General features: G+C 36.7%; 1 protein-coding gene across 13 annotated transcripts in view; it reads right to left on the bottom strand.

Annotated features, from left to right (window-relative positions):
• The window catches only part of NCOA1 (nuclear receptor coactivator 1), a 279,449-nt gene that overhangs the window by 265,377 nt on the left and 1,701 nt on the right, over window positions 1-12,371 (bottom strand). Inside the window, exon 2 of one of the 13 annotated variants that reach the window (XM_047446154.1) lies at window positions 8,827-9,006. The exons of 11 other annotated variants lie outside the window; for them this stretch is intronic. The gene's annotated coding sequence lies outside the window, so the exon portion shown is untranslated. Of the gene's footprint in view, window positions 1-8,826; window positions 10,210-12,371 lie in introns of those variants that run through there. One more of the 13 variants, XM_047446153.1, reaches the window with a different exon arrangement.

Here is a 12,371-nt window from a genome sequence, read left to right as displayed (position 1 = left end):
TGCCTGTACTACTTGGGAGGCTGAGGCAGAAGAATCGCTTGAACCCAGGAGGCGGAGGTTGCGGTGAGCCGAGATTGCCCCATTGCACTCCAGCCTCAGCAACAAGGGCAAAACTCCGTCTCAAAAAAAAAAAAGAAAAAAGAAAAAAATATTGGAATACAGTCAGAAAGTCTAAGGTTTAAAAAGTTCAGGATTGATGACTTTAGGAATAAAACAGGGAAAAAACAAGCCTCATGGACAAGTAAGGATCTAAGCTTCCTAGTAGTTCTGCAAACTTGGCCAACACCAATAGTTGGCCAACTATTTTAACCACCACCCAATAGTCCTTAACAAACCAAGCATTAGAAAGGCAAACAAAAAATGGAGAAAACAGGTTTTAATTAATTAGCAATATGTTGATAACAGGGGGAAAATGACCTCCAAGGATACTAGAGAAATTTTGTGAACTTCTCAGACAGCAAAAGTCTCCAAAAGTATCTAAGCCCTTTACTCCCTCTCTCACTTTTCTTACCTGAAATCTTACCAGTTAAACCATATATGTAGGAAAGTCCTGGATCAGGTATACTGAAGCCAAATATTCACTTTCTGTTTCAAATATCCATTCTAAAGATGGTAGCAAACTAAAACAATTCATAATACTTACCCCTAAAATAGACACACTAGTAAAGTTTCTCCTTTAATTGTCCCAAAGGCTACCATTCAGTGCTTGTAAGTTCTTTTCACAAATAAATTTAATAATAAAAATTCCATTTAGGTTGACACATAAAAGCAATTCTTCTTTTCTTCAATAACTCCAAGCAGGGTCTACCAATTTTGGTATTCACCACTAAAGAAAATCAATTCTGCTATAGTAAGGCAAAATCATTTACTCCTCACCAAATATTCATGTTCTTACCCACACTTCCTAGCCCCTTAAGTAGTATCCTATGACTACTTTTAGCCAATAGTCTATAAGAAAAATCGATGTGGGACACTTTAGGGCCAAAGCCACAGTAACCAAGGAGGCTTCATGTTCTAGATGGTACACCAAACCTATTTTATTAACTAAAAACGCTTTTATCATGTTCCATGGGACTATGCCATAAGCAACATTCCAAAGCCCACAAATTGAATTCAAATCCACTTCCTCTAGAAAGCCTACCCAGATCATACTAGGCTCCTAGTATCATCGGTAACAAACTTATGTATGTATACTGTGGGTAGAGCATTATGAAAGCACTGTGGTACAAGTCTCCATCTACTATAATTTACAATCTGGAAGCGAAGGATACATGTAAAAACAGAGACAAGTAGCCAGGCGCAGTGGCTCACGCCTGTAATCCCAGAACTTTGGGAGGCTGAGGCAGGCGGATTACCTGAGGTCAGGAGTTCAAGACCAGCCTGGCCAACATGGTGAAACCCCGTCTCTACTAAAAACACAAAAACTAGCTGTGTGTGGTGGTACACATCTGAAATCCCAGCTACTCGGGAGGCTGAGACAGGAGAATCGCTTGAACCCAGGAGACAGAGGTTGCAGTGAGCCAAGATCACACCACCACATCCAGCCTGGACGACAGAGCAAGACTCTTGTCTTAAAAAAAAAAAAAAAAAAACAGAGACAAGTATACATGATAAAAAATTTCACGTGAGTGAAGAAATAAGTGCTAGACAAGTTTCCATATATCTCAGTTAAAAACTAAGCCATACACTCTCATGTGACATATTTTGTATTGTATATTATTTTTAAATTCATGTATGATTTATAGCAAATGAGACTCCCTTATAGGGGTTATAATCTCCTTGAAAGGCAAGAATCCTAAAATATAACTACTTTATGGTGCCCCATATTATCAAACAACAGGTATTCAATTAAAATTTGTATTTTATTGTGAAGACTGTGTTGAAAAATTAAAACAGAAATGTAGTAATCCTCAATACATGAGGAATTAGTGTTCCCATCACTGTTAAGAAGACAGAGGAAGGAACACAAGTTTTTCTGTCACCCAGGACAGGTAGAGCTCTACACTGGAGAACAATTACTCACCAAGCTACACCAGACTTTTGAGATATCCCTTTACAGCCAACTTCTTATGTTGTAGAACAACACGTTCTCCAAGCAATACCAGATTTCCAATTTAATTCCCTAAATACCCTGAAACTAGTCAAGAAAATCCCTAGTTTATCTGTGAGTATTCCAGGAACACGCACACATTCACACCCACAAAAGGTCTATTTCTCTAAGTACATTCATAAGTAGCATTATGCTTTAATCAATATGACTTGACAAATATTGTAATATCTATGTGTGTAAGACACTGCAGAGGACAAAATATAAAACCTAATCCCCATCTGCCATTCTCATACCCTAATACAGGAGACAGGACACACAAAAACAAAAAATTTCATAAGGTACAAGGTTGTACATATAAAGTACCAAGCGAATAACAAGGAAAATAAATACTGAGAGTTCACAGGAGGAATTGATTACTTTTAAATTTTATGGTCTGAACACTTAATAAGCAAGGTGAAATCTGAGTTGAGCTGTAAAGGATAGGTAGAATTTCAAAAAGCATAGACTAGATTAAGGGAGAACATTCCTTGGAAAATAACATATAAAGAGGTAGAAAGAGAAAAGCTCAAGAGATGTTTAGAGGACAAAAAATTGACAATTTTATTTCAAAACACAATTTACTGGGGCAGACTAGTGGGAAATGAACCCAGAAAAGAAAGCTGGGGCCAAACACTGGAAAGGTTTAAATGCCAGGCTAAGGAACAACTTTATCTTGACAGCAATGAGGAACCACTGAAGGTTTCTGAGCAAAACAGTACCATTAAAGTAAAAATTAGGATAATCATTCCGAATCAAAATTTGGGACATATGAAGAAGGAACTCACTGGGGAGTGGGACCACTTTGCTTGACCAATTAATTAATTGTTTGACCAATAATTAAGCCCCAAAAGAAAAAAAAGAATAATTAAGCCTGAACTAGAATGTCAGTGAGGAGAAAAGAGCCTACAAAACTTGCAAAGTGTTTTTAGCATATGTCAAATCAGACTCTAAGGATTCTAGAAAGCTGAAATTCAGATGCTAAAGATAGGTCAAAAGCACAACTGTGAATCCCAGCCTACCCAGCAGGGATACTTGAAGCGAAGTGAATTGAAACTGGGCTCTTTATATATATTCCTGTCTCTACACCCATACAATAGGTCCACTCTTTTTAATTGGGGGTTAGGGGGATATAGATGGAAAATAACATATATAAAAGCAGCCAAGGGATGGAGGGCCAGGTAGTTGTGCAATAAACAGACAGAACTCAAACACCTGTAAAAGCCAAAGGCACTGCAATCACATCTGTTGCAAAGTGGAAAAACAGACTGCACATCTAGTCATACGGTGGGCTTGAGTAATGACATCAGATATATCCATCAAACTTGGCAAGAGGGTACAACTGGATGAGTAGAGTTACTGAGGTCCCAGTCCACAAAAACAGAGATCCTAAACCATTGGGGGAGGTCATGGACCCTTTCAGAAATTTGGTGAAAGCTCTAGACCCTCTCCCCAGATAAATATATAGACTCACAAAATTTTACATACAATTTCAGAGTGCTTACAGATCCCCTAAAGCCTATCTAGGGGCTCTTATTCTATGAACCCCAGGTTAGGAACTTCTGGTATAGAATCATGATAGCCATTTTTATCACATATCTCATGGTTTAAAAGTTTATGAATAGGAAGCCATTATACTTATTTATAATTTGTATATATTGCACACCAAATCAATAAATTATGTAGATATGGCATATACAAAAAAGGAAATTAAAAAGAATATTATAGCAAGTAAACAAATTTTTAAACATTTACTTTTCTTATTGATGACACAAAAACTTTGTGCTTTTCCTAATATTGTTATTATATTAATACCACTCACTACTTTTGGTGACAGCAATGTAAATGAACATGGTTTGTTATTTTTATATCTTGCTTTCATACTTTGTAATATAACAACTTGAAGGTCTAGTTCTATATTCGGTTCATTTTTATGAGATATAACTATTTTATTTGGTTTTAATGGTTATCATAGCTGAAAAAATGTTACCTCACAAATATGAATAAAACCAAAAGAACTCCATTACTGGGTGCACTGAATAAAACATGATATTCAATTTCCAATCCCATTCACCATTTATGCAAAGGTTTTTGCTAAAATTCAGCTAGTGCATTTCCATACCTTCTGATGGCAATCAGTTGTTCTTATAAACTAATCAGATGGTATTGCCTTTTTGTGTTTTCAGCAGATGGGCTCAAAATCACTAAACAGCTCTTTTAAAAGATTTTTATACAGGTTAGAAAATTCTGTTTCCAAGTTCAAGTATACATATAAAAAAAGCTCTTAAAGTTAACACATATAATTTTCAACAATTAAATTCCATAACAGGAAAAATTCTAAATATCCATTTTCAATATCCTTTCCCTACAGCATTAAATTTTTTGTTGTTGTTCTGAAAGGTAGTTACTTTTTGAATCACTGTTAAGAACTTACCCTATTATCTCAAAGGGGCAGATTAAGTGTGTTTATTTGCTAGGTAACATAGCACTTATAGCCACGTTTCACAAAAAGGACCAACAAACTTGGGACATTTGTCTTTTTGTGAAAAAATACTGAGTAAGTCATCTTTAAGTTAGATCATTCTTAACTCCTCTGCCTCAAGGTGACCACTTAATCTCTATGAAATGGTATTAAAAAGATCTGCATAAGTGATCTCTACTGCAATACAAAATAGTGTTGAGTCTACTATTTAAAATAATAAACCTAAAAATCCAGTTACCCAAGCCCCTGTAAACTACAAACCACCACAACAGACTGAAAGAGAAGAAACATCTTCACAGACCTCTAGTATTTCTTCCATTTTGCGGATAATTTAATGTTAAGAAACTACTGGCCAGGCGCGGTGGCTCACGCCTGTAATCCCAGCACTTTGGGAGGCCAAGGCGGGCGGATCACCCGAGGTTGGGAGTTCAAGACCAGCTTGACCAACATGGAGAAACCCCGTCTCCACTAAAAATACAAAATTAGCCAGGCATGGTGGCACATGCCTGTAATCCCAGCTACTAGGGAATCTGAGGCAGGAGAATCACTTGAACCTGGGAGGTGGAGGTTGCAGTGAGCCGAGATCGCGCCATTGCACTCCAGCCTGGGCGACAAGAGCGAAACTCCTTCTCAAAAAAAAAGAAAGAAAGAAAGAAAAAAAGAAACTACCGGGCTAAAAGTGCCTGGGGTCCCAAGAGTTAAGGCTCTTTATCAGCCTACCCAGCAGGGATACTTGAAGGGATACTTCCAGCCAATTTCTGTTGTATGCTATCAAGGTTTAAAGGACTTATCTTTAAAGGTACCCCAATTACACTGTATCATCTCTGAATTACTACCAGTTTGGCAAAAGACACACCACAGCACATTCAGTGACACTAGTTGTCTTCAACACTGTTCCCTCCGTGTAACGAGTAACGTTGGCTAGGGGCATCAGTCAAATAATAGACAGGGCTGGAACAAGGTCCAAGACTCCTCAAGACACATCCTGCCTTAAATCCTTTTTGGAACATGGCAAGGCATAAATAAATCAGTAAAATAAATCATGAACTATAAATGAGAGCCAGGGGCTTCCAACTTGTATGACCAATCTCATTTATACAGTCAGATACACTTATATTTATACAAAGAGACATTTTTACACCGAACAAACAAGTCCACTGCATCATCTTAAAAAATGCCAAGTGATAATACACTGTTTAAAAGAATACTTACTGCTTAAAAAAAAAAGTCAATGGTATGAAATAGAAGATAAAATGGAAAAGAAGTACACTAAGAACAATATAAAGCACATTTAGAGGGCATGAAATTAGATCTGATAAACAAAGGGCCATAGAACAATGCTGGAGGAATGTTGGAATATTGCAATCCTGGTTGGTCCAAAATTCATCTATATATTTAATAAACTCAAATCAACATCTAAGAATCACTGGGAGGTTAAAATTTTTTTTTAAGGTTGATGGCAGGATTTTCCTTATCAGTAACAATATATAAAACAGTAAGGAACTGCCACATATTAAATAGATGTATCTATTTTTGGAATAAAGAAATGCAGAATCAGAAAAAAGGGAGTATAGAAACATCAAAATGTAGACTTCAAAATAGTAGGGAATTATTAAAATGAATATGTTAATAAATTATGTTGGATCAACTGGCTAACTCTTGGGCAAGTATCATGCAATATGCATATCTCATATCACATGTAGGTTAAGGCATAATTCATAATCAAAAGTAAAAAACAAAAAAGTTAATTCGAAAAAAGTATAAGGCAGTGAAAAAGATTTTGTACCAACTTCTATTCAAAAAAAAAACCATATAATCTGTGTTTAAATATACATAAAAATGAGTGAATAAGTTCCCAATGTGGGTAAGCCTTACATATGGAATCATTTCAAAAACAAAAAATATGAAATTTGGGGTATAAAACCTGCCAAGAAAAGATCCACGTAAATTTGGAAAATTGACATTTCTCATTTTCATCCATATCTACATACTTACTACATACTGCTCCCCACCACCTCCCTCCATTAAAATCCACCAATGTTTTCTTACTACACCTAGACGATATGCTTCCCTCTCCCACTTCAGCTGATGCCACACTCCTTGCACTTTCCCCTGCATTACTCCGTCTTTTCATCTTTGCTATTTAATCTTCCTGAACATACTGTTCTCCTTGTCTCTATTCTTAAAGAAATCATCCCCTGCCCTCAATGCTTTTGTCTACCACCAAGTCCTCCATAAAACTTGCCCTGATTTTTCTCAAATGAAAATACAATAATCATTCCCTCTCCCTGAATGTTCAAAGCACTGTTTCAGGACCTGTCTCACAGCACTCATCACATTCAATTACTATTATAGGTATTTGTATGTTTGTCTTATCACCTCTCTCAGGTCATAATCTGCTTAAGAACAGGATCTATATTTTATCGGTTAATTTCCCAATAACCACTATCTTTTTACAGCACAGCACCTTGAACAAAGTACGTACTCATATAACTACGTCTTGACCGAATGATTGAGTAGCTACTTAGAAATTCAATTACAGACTACCTGTACCATTTAGAATGGAGAGGGAGATATTAGACATTGCAGAACAAATAACTTTTTGTTTCTTACAAACAAATTCACCAAAGTAAAGTCAATATTACACATACAGATGTTTTCAAAACTCAAGGACATTTCATCCTTCAACTATCTGGTCAAATATGATGTGATATGTTTATATACATACATACATTCACAATAGAATACCTACTGTTAAATAATCAAATCTATGCTTGATAATAAAAGTATGTAAATGTTTTAACTATATAGGCAAACTGGAATTTTAAGATAAAATCAACCATTCAAATTACAAGTGGAAACACAGAGAATGACCAAGCAATTTGTTCCAAAAAAATAAAAACAAAACCAAACCACACTAAGCTTTAGCTATTTAAATACCAACAAAACTTGAGAGGCAGAATTTTATGGCTAAGAATCCAAAACCAACCAAAGATAACCTTACCTGGATAGAAGCACCAAAGAATCAACATTACTGAAGTACAAAGGTGAGACCAGAAACAGCACAAGAATCTTTTTTTTTTTTTGAGATGGAGTCTCGCTCTGTCACCCAGGCTGGAGTGCAATGGCGCGATCTCGGCTCACTGCAACCTCCGCCTCCCTGGTTCAAGCAATTCTTCTGCCTCAGCCTCCTGAGTAGCTGGGACTACAGGCTTGCGCCACCACACCCGGCTATTTTTTGTATTTTTAGTAGAGACAGGGTGTCACCATATTGGCCAGGTCTCGAACTCCTGACCTCATGATCTGCCTGCCTTGGTCTCTGAAAGTGCTGGGATTACAGATGTGAGCCACCACGCCCAGCCCACAAGAATCTTAAAGTGACATTTTCATCAAGTAACTGGTATATATGGCTCCCGGGTCATCAGAAAGGAACAAGACTGCAGGAGTCTCCACAACACAGGTATTCAAGAGAAAGAAAGTCCAGAAAGAAAAAAAAAAAAGTATAATGTGGCCAAGTGTGACGAACATGCTTGAAGAGAAGCCAATTGAAAGGTATGAATATGATTTCCACTCAGTAGGCTTGAACTCAAATGTCATCCCTAACACCTATAAGCTGTGCAATCTTACGCCAGCCACTTAACTTCCCTGAGCCTTGTTTCCTCATTTATAAAATGTAATATGTAGAGCTAGCACAGTACCTGGCTCAGAGACAACACTCAATAAATATTTGCTGACTATGAATGAGGGCCTTACAAGAAAAGCAGACGTTTTTCTACAGGTACTTTTGTAGTTTTTGAGAAAACGGTCTTAATTAATTCCTAATTAATACCTTTTTACAATATTTGAGAGTCATATTTTGGTCAAAAAATAAAAATGCTCCTTTCCTCCTAGCTTACACATTACTCAAAAGCTTACAGGAATTCTTATTATTTAAAATATCTTTGTAATATTGTAACTTTAAATACAAAAAGTAACTCTCATAAAGAAACCCTATTCCCAACTACATCTGCATGGACTTAGTCTGCTCAGCTGTAATATTAAGAAGGCTGTCCTAAATGATCATTTAAGGCTCTTTAACTCTAAATGTTGTAGTTCCTGGCATCTCAAGCGTTTTCCAATCTGTTTAGGAAAACCAATCAACACACACTAAAAAGAGAATCTCTCTCAAAAGAAAGAGAGAGAAAGAGAAGTTTATTATACAGAACAGAGTACCTAATGCTAAGGGAGTGATAAAAATCAAGCTTTCTTGAAAACATACCAGCTTTGATGCTGTTTTTGAAGGTCACGAGAACATAAAGGAAATCCAATTTAAATGAAGAAAATGGAACATGTAAAAGCAAAGACGCAAGATATCTATGATTATCATAATACTTTCTTCATTGCGTAGCACTTTACAGTTTGCGAAGTATTTCTGCATATGCCATCTACAGCAAATTTTCTGGAATGGGAAATGAAAGAATCAGTTTAAATGATTTACATTTGATAAATTTGCCCACAGAAAATCTCCTCTGAAAACAATAACATAAAAAAATTTTTTTAGAAGGGAATTTCTTCAGCATTATGTGTAGGACAAATTAGAGAGGTAAATGCATGCAAGCAAACAGCTATAAACCTACAAATCACAGAATTTTAAAACAAGAAGAAATGTGAAATTAGACCAACATGCTCATTTAATGATAAAGAAACTCAGGCCCACAGAGTCAATGTGACTCCCATTACTCCATGTGCAAATGACAGGAGGACCAGATTGCAGAACCAGAAATAAAGGAAAAAATTTGAGAAATTACAAAGAAAAGAATGCGAGAATTTGGTGATGAATTCGCTAATGAAATACCTGTTAGTCATTAATGTCTATGTGCCAATCATATGCTAAACACATTTAATAATTTTAAAGATTACAATATGAGGACAAGTACGTTACTCCAATTTTAAATATAAAAACTGAAGTTTAGTGTGGTTAAACAGCTCAAGGCTACATCAACCTAAGTATCTGGAAGAGCTAGGACACCTCTGTCTGTCTGGTCAGAGTTTCTTTTCTAAAAGATGCTTTAAAATTGCCCCACAATTATAAGCTGAAAGGGCAAAAATGAAGCATCACTCTGGAAAAACTGGATAATCCAGTACAATTAGAATTCTGGTCCTGATAATGGGTGCGTTTTGCTTCCGTGCTTGCACCTATTTTTATGAGTCTGGCCTGTCTGTGCCTAATGGTCAGGTCAGGGCTACTCAGTAAAACCAAACATCCCTGCCCTCCACACACTAAAACATACTCTCGGGGAGTGGTAAGAACAAAATATATCCAAGATGAGGGTGAGTCTTCCATAACTCCTCGAGTGACTAGAGCTTCTATTTTGGCATAAGCTACTTATCTTTTAAATATGATAACCATACTAAGCTTTTCTAAAAGCCTATCACTCCAAGGAGCCTCAAAAATTCTGTGTTGCAGATGGGGTTATGGGGGAAGAAGCATGGATACAACTCACTTTACTTAAACTTATGGAATTGGACTTATATGTTGGTATCAGCGTTTTATAATAATTTCCCTTATTCAGCCATGTATCCTGCAGAAATATATAATAATCATTTCTATACATTAATCCAAATACTATAGCCCACAAACCATTTTCCAGAACTAAGCTATTAAAAAAAAAAAACAAAAAAAAAACACCTTCATCTCCTTATGAAATGAAGCAACCAACATTGGTACCTAGTTGCCACTAGGCCATTTTATGACCTCTGACACCAAATGTTGAAAGGCACAAGGTCTAACTAAAATATAAAGAGAAAAGGAAAGGTTTTAAATGACTAGACCTCATCTTCAATGTTAAGAATAGAACATGAGGCCTATCCTTAGTTGCCAATCACCAACGGCTAAACTACTGCTAATCTGGGAAAGAAGCAATTTTAAAAAGTCCTTTCCTACAGTCTAGTCTTCCCAAATGGGTAGGAAAGTTAATCTAAGATAGGGAGAAATTTATACGGTTCTGCAGCCCAGATCAGATACAGTGTTCTGACATCCACCTCCTGAAACACATGGATTTCACCCGAGCCCACACCGACCACAGCATCCAATATTTGCAAGTAATGCAAAATGGAACCCTCCAAAACATTTTTGGACCTCTGCCAGGAAAGCAGCTGATGGTCCTCTGAGAATTTCTGTTATAATCATATTTAAAAGGCAAAAACCAATGCCAAAACAATCATGAGCGTCCCGGGGATCTCCTATGCTCCATGACTTAGATTTTACTCCGTGTTGTGCGTTGTATTGACCTCCCACACCTGCCCTATAATGAAAACTATGTTAAGCCACATGGCTTAAGGCCAGCCAACTCCATAAGATATGCAACATAACATTCAAACAATGTGGAGTCCTTGGGAGACGCAGCAAAAAAGACAAACTAAAGTACGGAACAGAGGTAGTATCTAAGAGGAGGTATATGAAATTGATGACAACCAAGCAGGGAGAACTAAAACATCCTTGAAAAACAATTATAAATCACAGTCTAGTATACAGATTCCCTATACAGAATTGGGGAAAAGAATTTCAAGAAAATGCCCAATACCCTCTCTCCACCACTCCACCTTTCAGCACCTCTATACCACCCTCATCACTTACTCAACATTTAGTCCTAGTGAAGACCGCTCACTGGATTAGCAGGATCAAGAAGACATGCACAGAACATTCCATTCTGAGAACAACATCTTTAAATTATTTAGGCTTGTTTACCACCCTTCCCTATAGAGTAAAAGCATGAAATGTTGCCAGCACTTTCACAATATACACCAGTTAGCACCATAGCAACCCAATCTTCTGCCCACCAAAAGATTAACACATAAGCAGAAAACAGGAAATTCAACAAAAATTAAAGTTTGACCTTAGACTCCCTCAACAGTTAAATGTCTTAAGTAGTAGCAGTGTCTTTACATCACACCCGCTTCATGCTACCCTTACAGCTTCCTGGCATAAGCAAGTTCTTGGGATTATACAAACTGCTGCTTCTGTTTGCAGCCCAGATTTCTAGAAATGAAACCCTGGAATTGAGGGAGAAACAAAAACAAATGTTCGCAGAAAGAGGCAGGAAGAAGCATTGTCTATATAATCCTAGTTTAAGTGAAACAATCACCATTAGCTCCATCAAGCACTTTTTTTTTTTTTCCAATAAAACCACTGCAGATCTAAAATACTCTCTTGGTTTAAACCACACAAAAAGCAATTTAATAGGCACAATCCTACAGGTTTTCTGAGAGAAATAAGGAAGAGATCAAGTGTAAGCTACGTAAAATTCACGTTTTGCACCTTATAAAGCAAACTTCAATGTTGTTAAATAACCAGTAGAAAATATCTACAAAAATCAAACTAAACACCTGTTCTTATAAGCAGCAGTCCTCTATTTTCTCTCTAAACCATATATTCCCAACTCAGACCCTCTCTGTGACCCACTGTTCCCAAAGCATAGAGTCTGAAGAAGAAATATAAAACATTTCGGACATTCGTTCACAAAACCAAATTAGACCTTTCCACAAAGTACAGGAGATAAAACAGAAACACTTCCATTTTATCTAATTTATGGCAAATAGTTCAAGGAATGCCTATTTGTTAAGCTGAATCAAACCCCACTGCTACCTTTAACCCAAAACTATTTCTAGTTGAAGATCCAAGAGACCTAAGCAAATACTTTCTTTTCACATTATTCTCAACATGAAGAAATCCGACCCCCTTCCTACAACATCATAGGAGGCCCCTCTGGCCAACTTTCGTTGTTATTGTTGTTGTTTTGTTTGCTTTTTTTTTGAGACTAGCCT

Source organism: Homo sapiens, chromosome 2 (genome assembly GCF_000001405.40).
Source record: "Homo sapiens chromosome 2, GRCh38.p14 Primary Assembly".
In the NCBI taxonomy this organism is placed as follows: Eukaryota; Metazoa; Chordata; class Mammalia; order Primates; family Hominidae; genus Homo; species Homo sapiens.
Note: the sequence above shows the minus strand (reverse complement) of the source record. Positions and strands in the feature narration are given on the sequence as shown.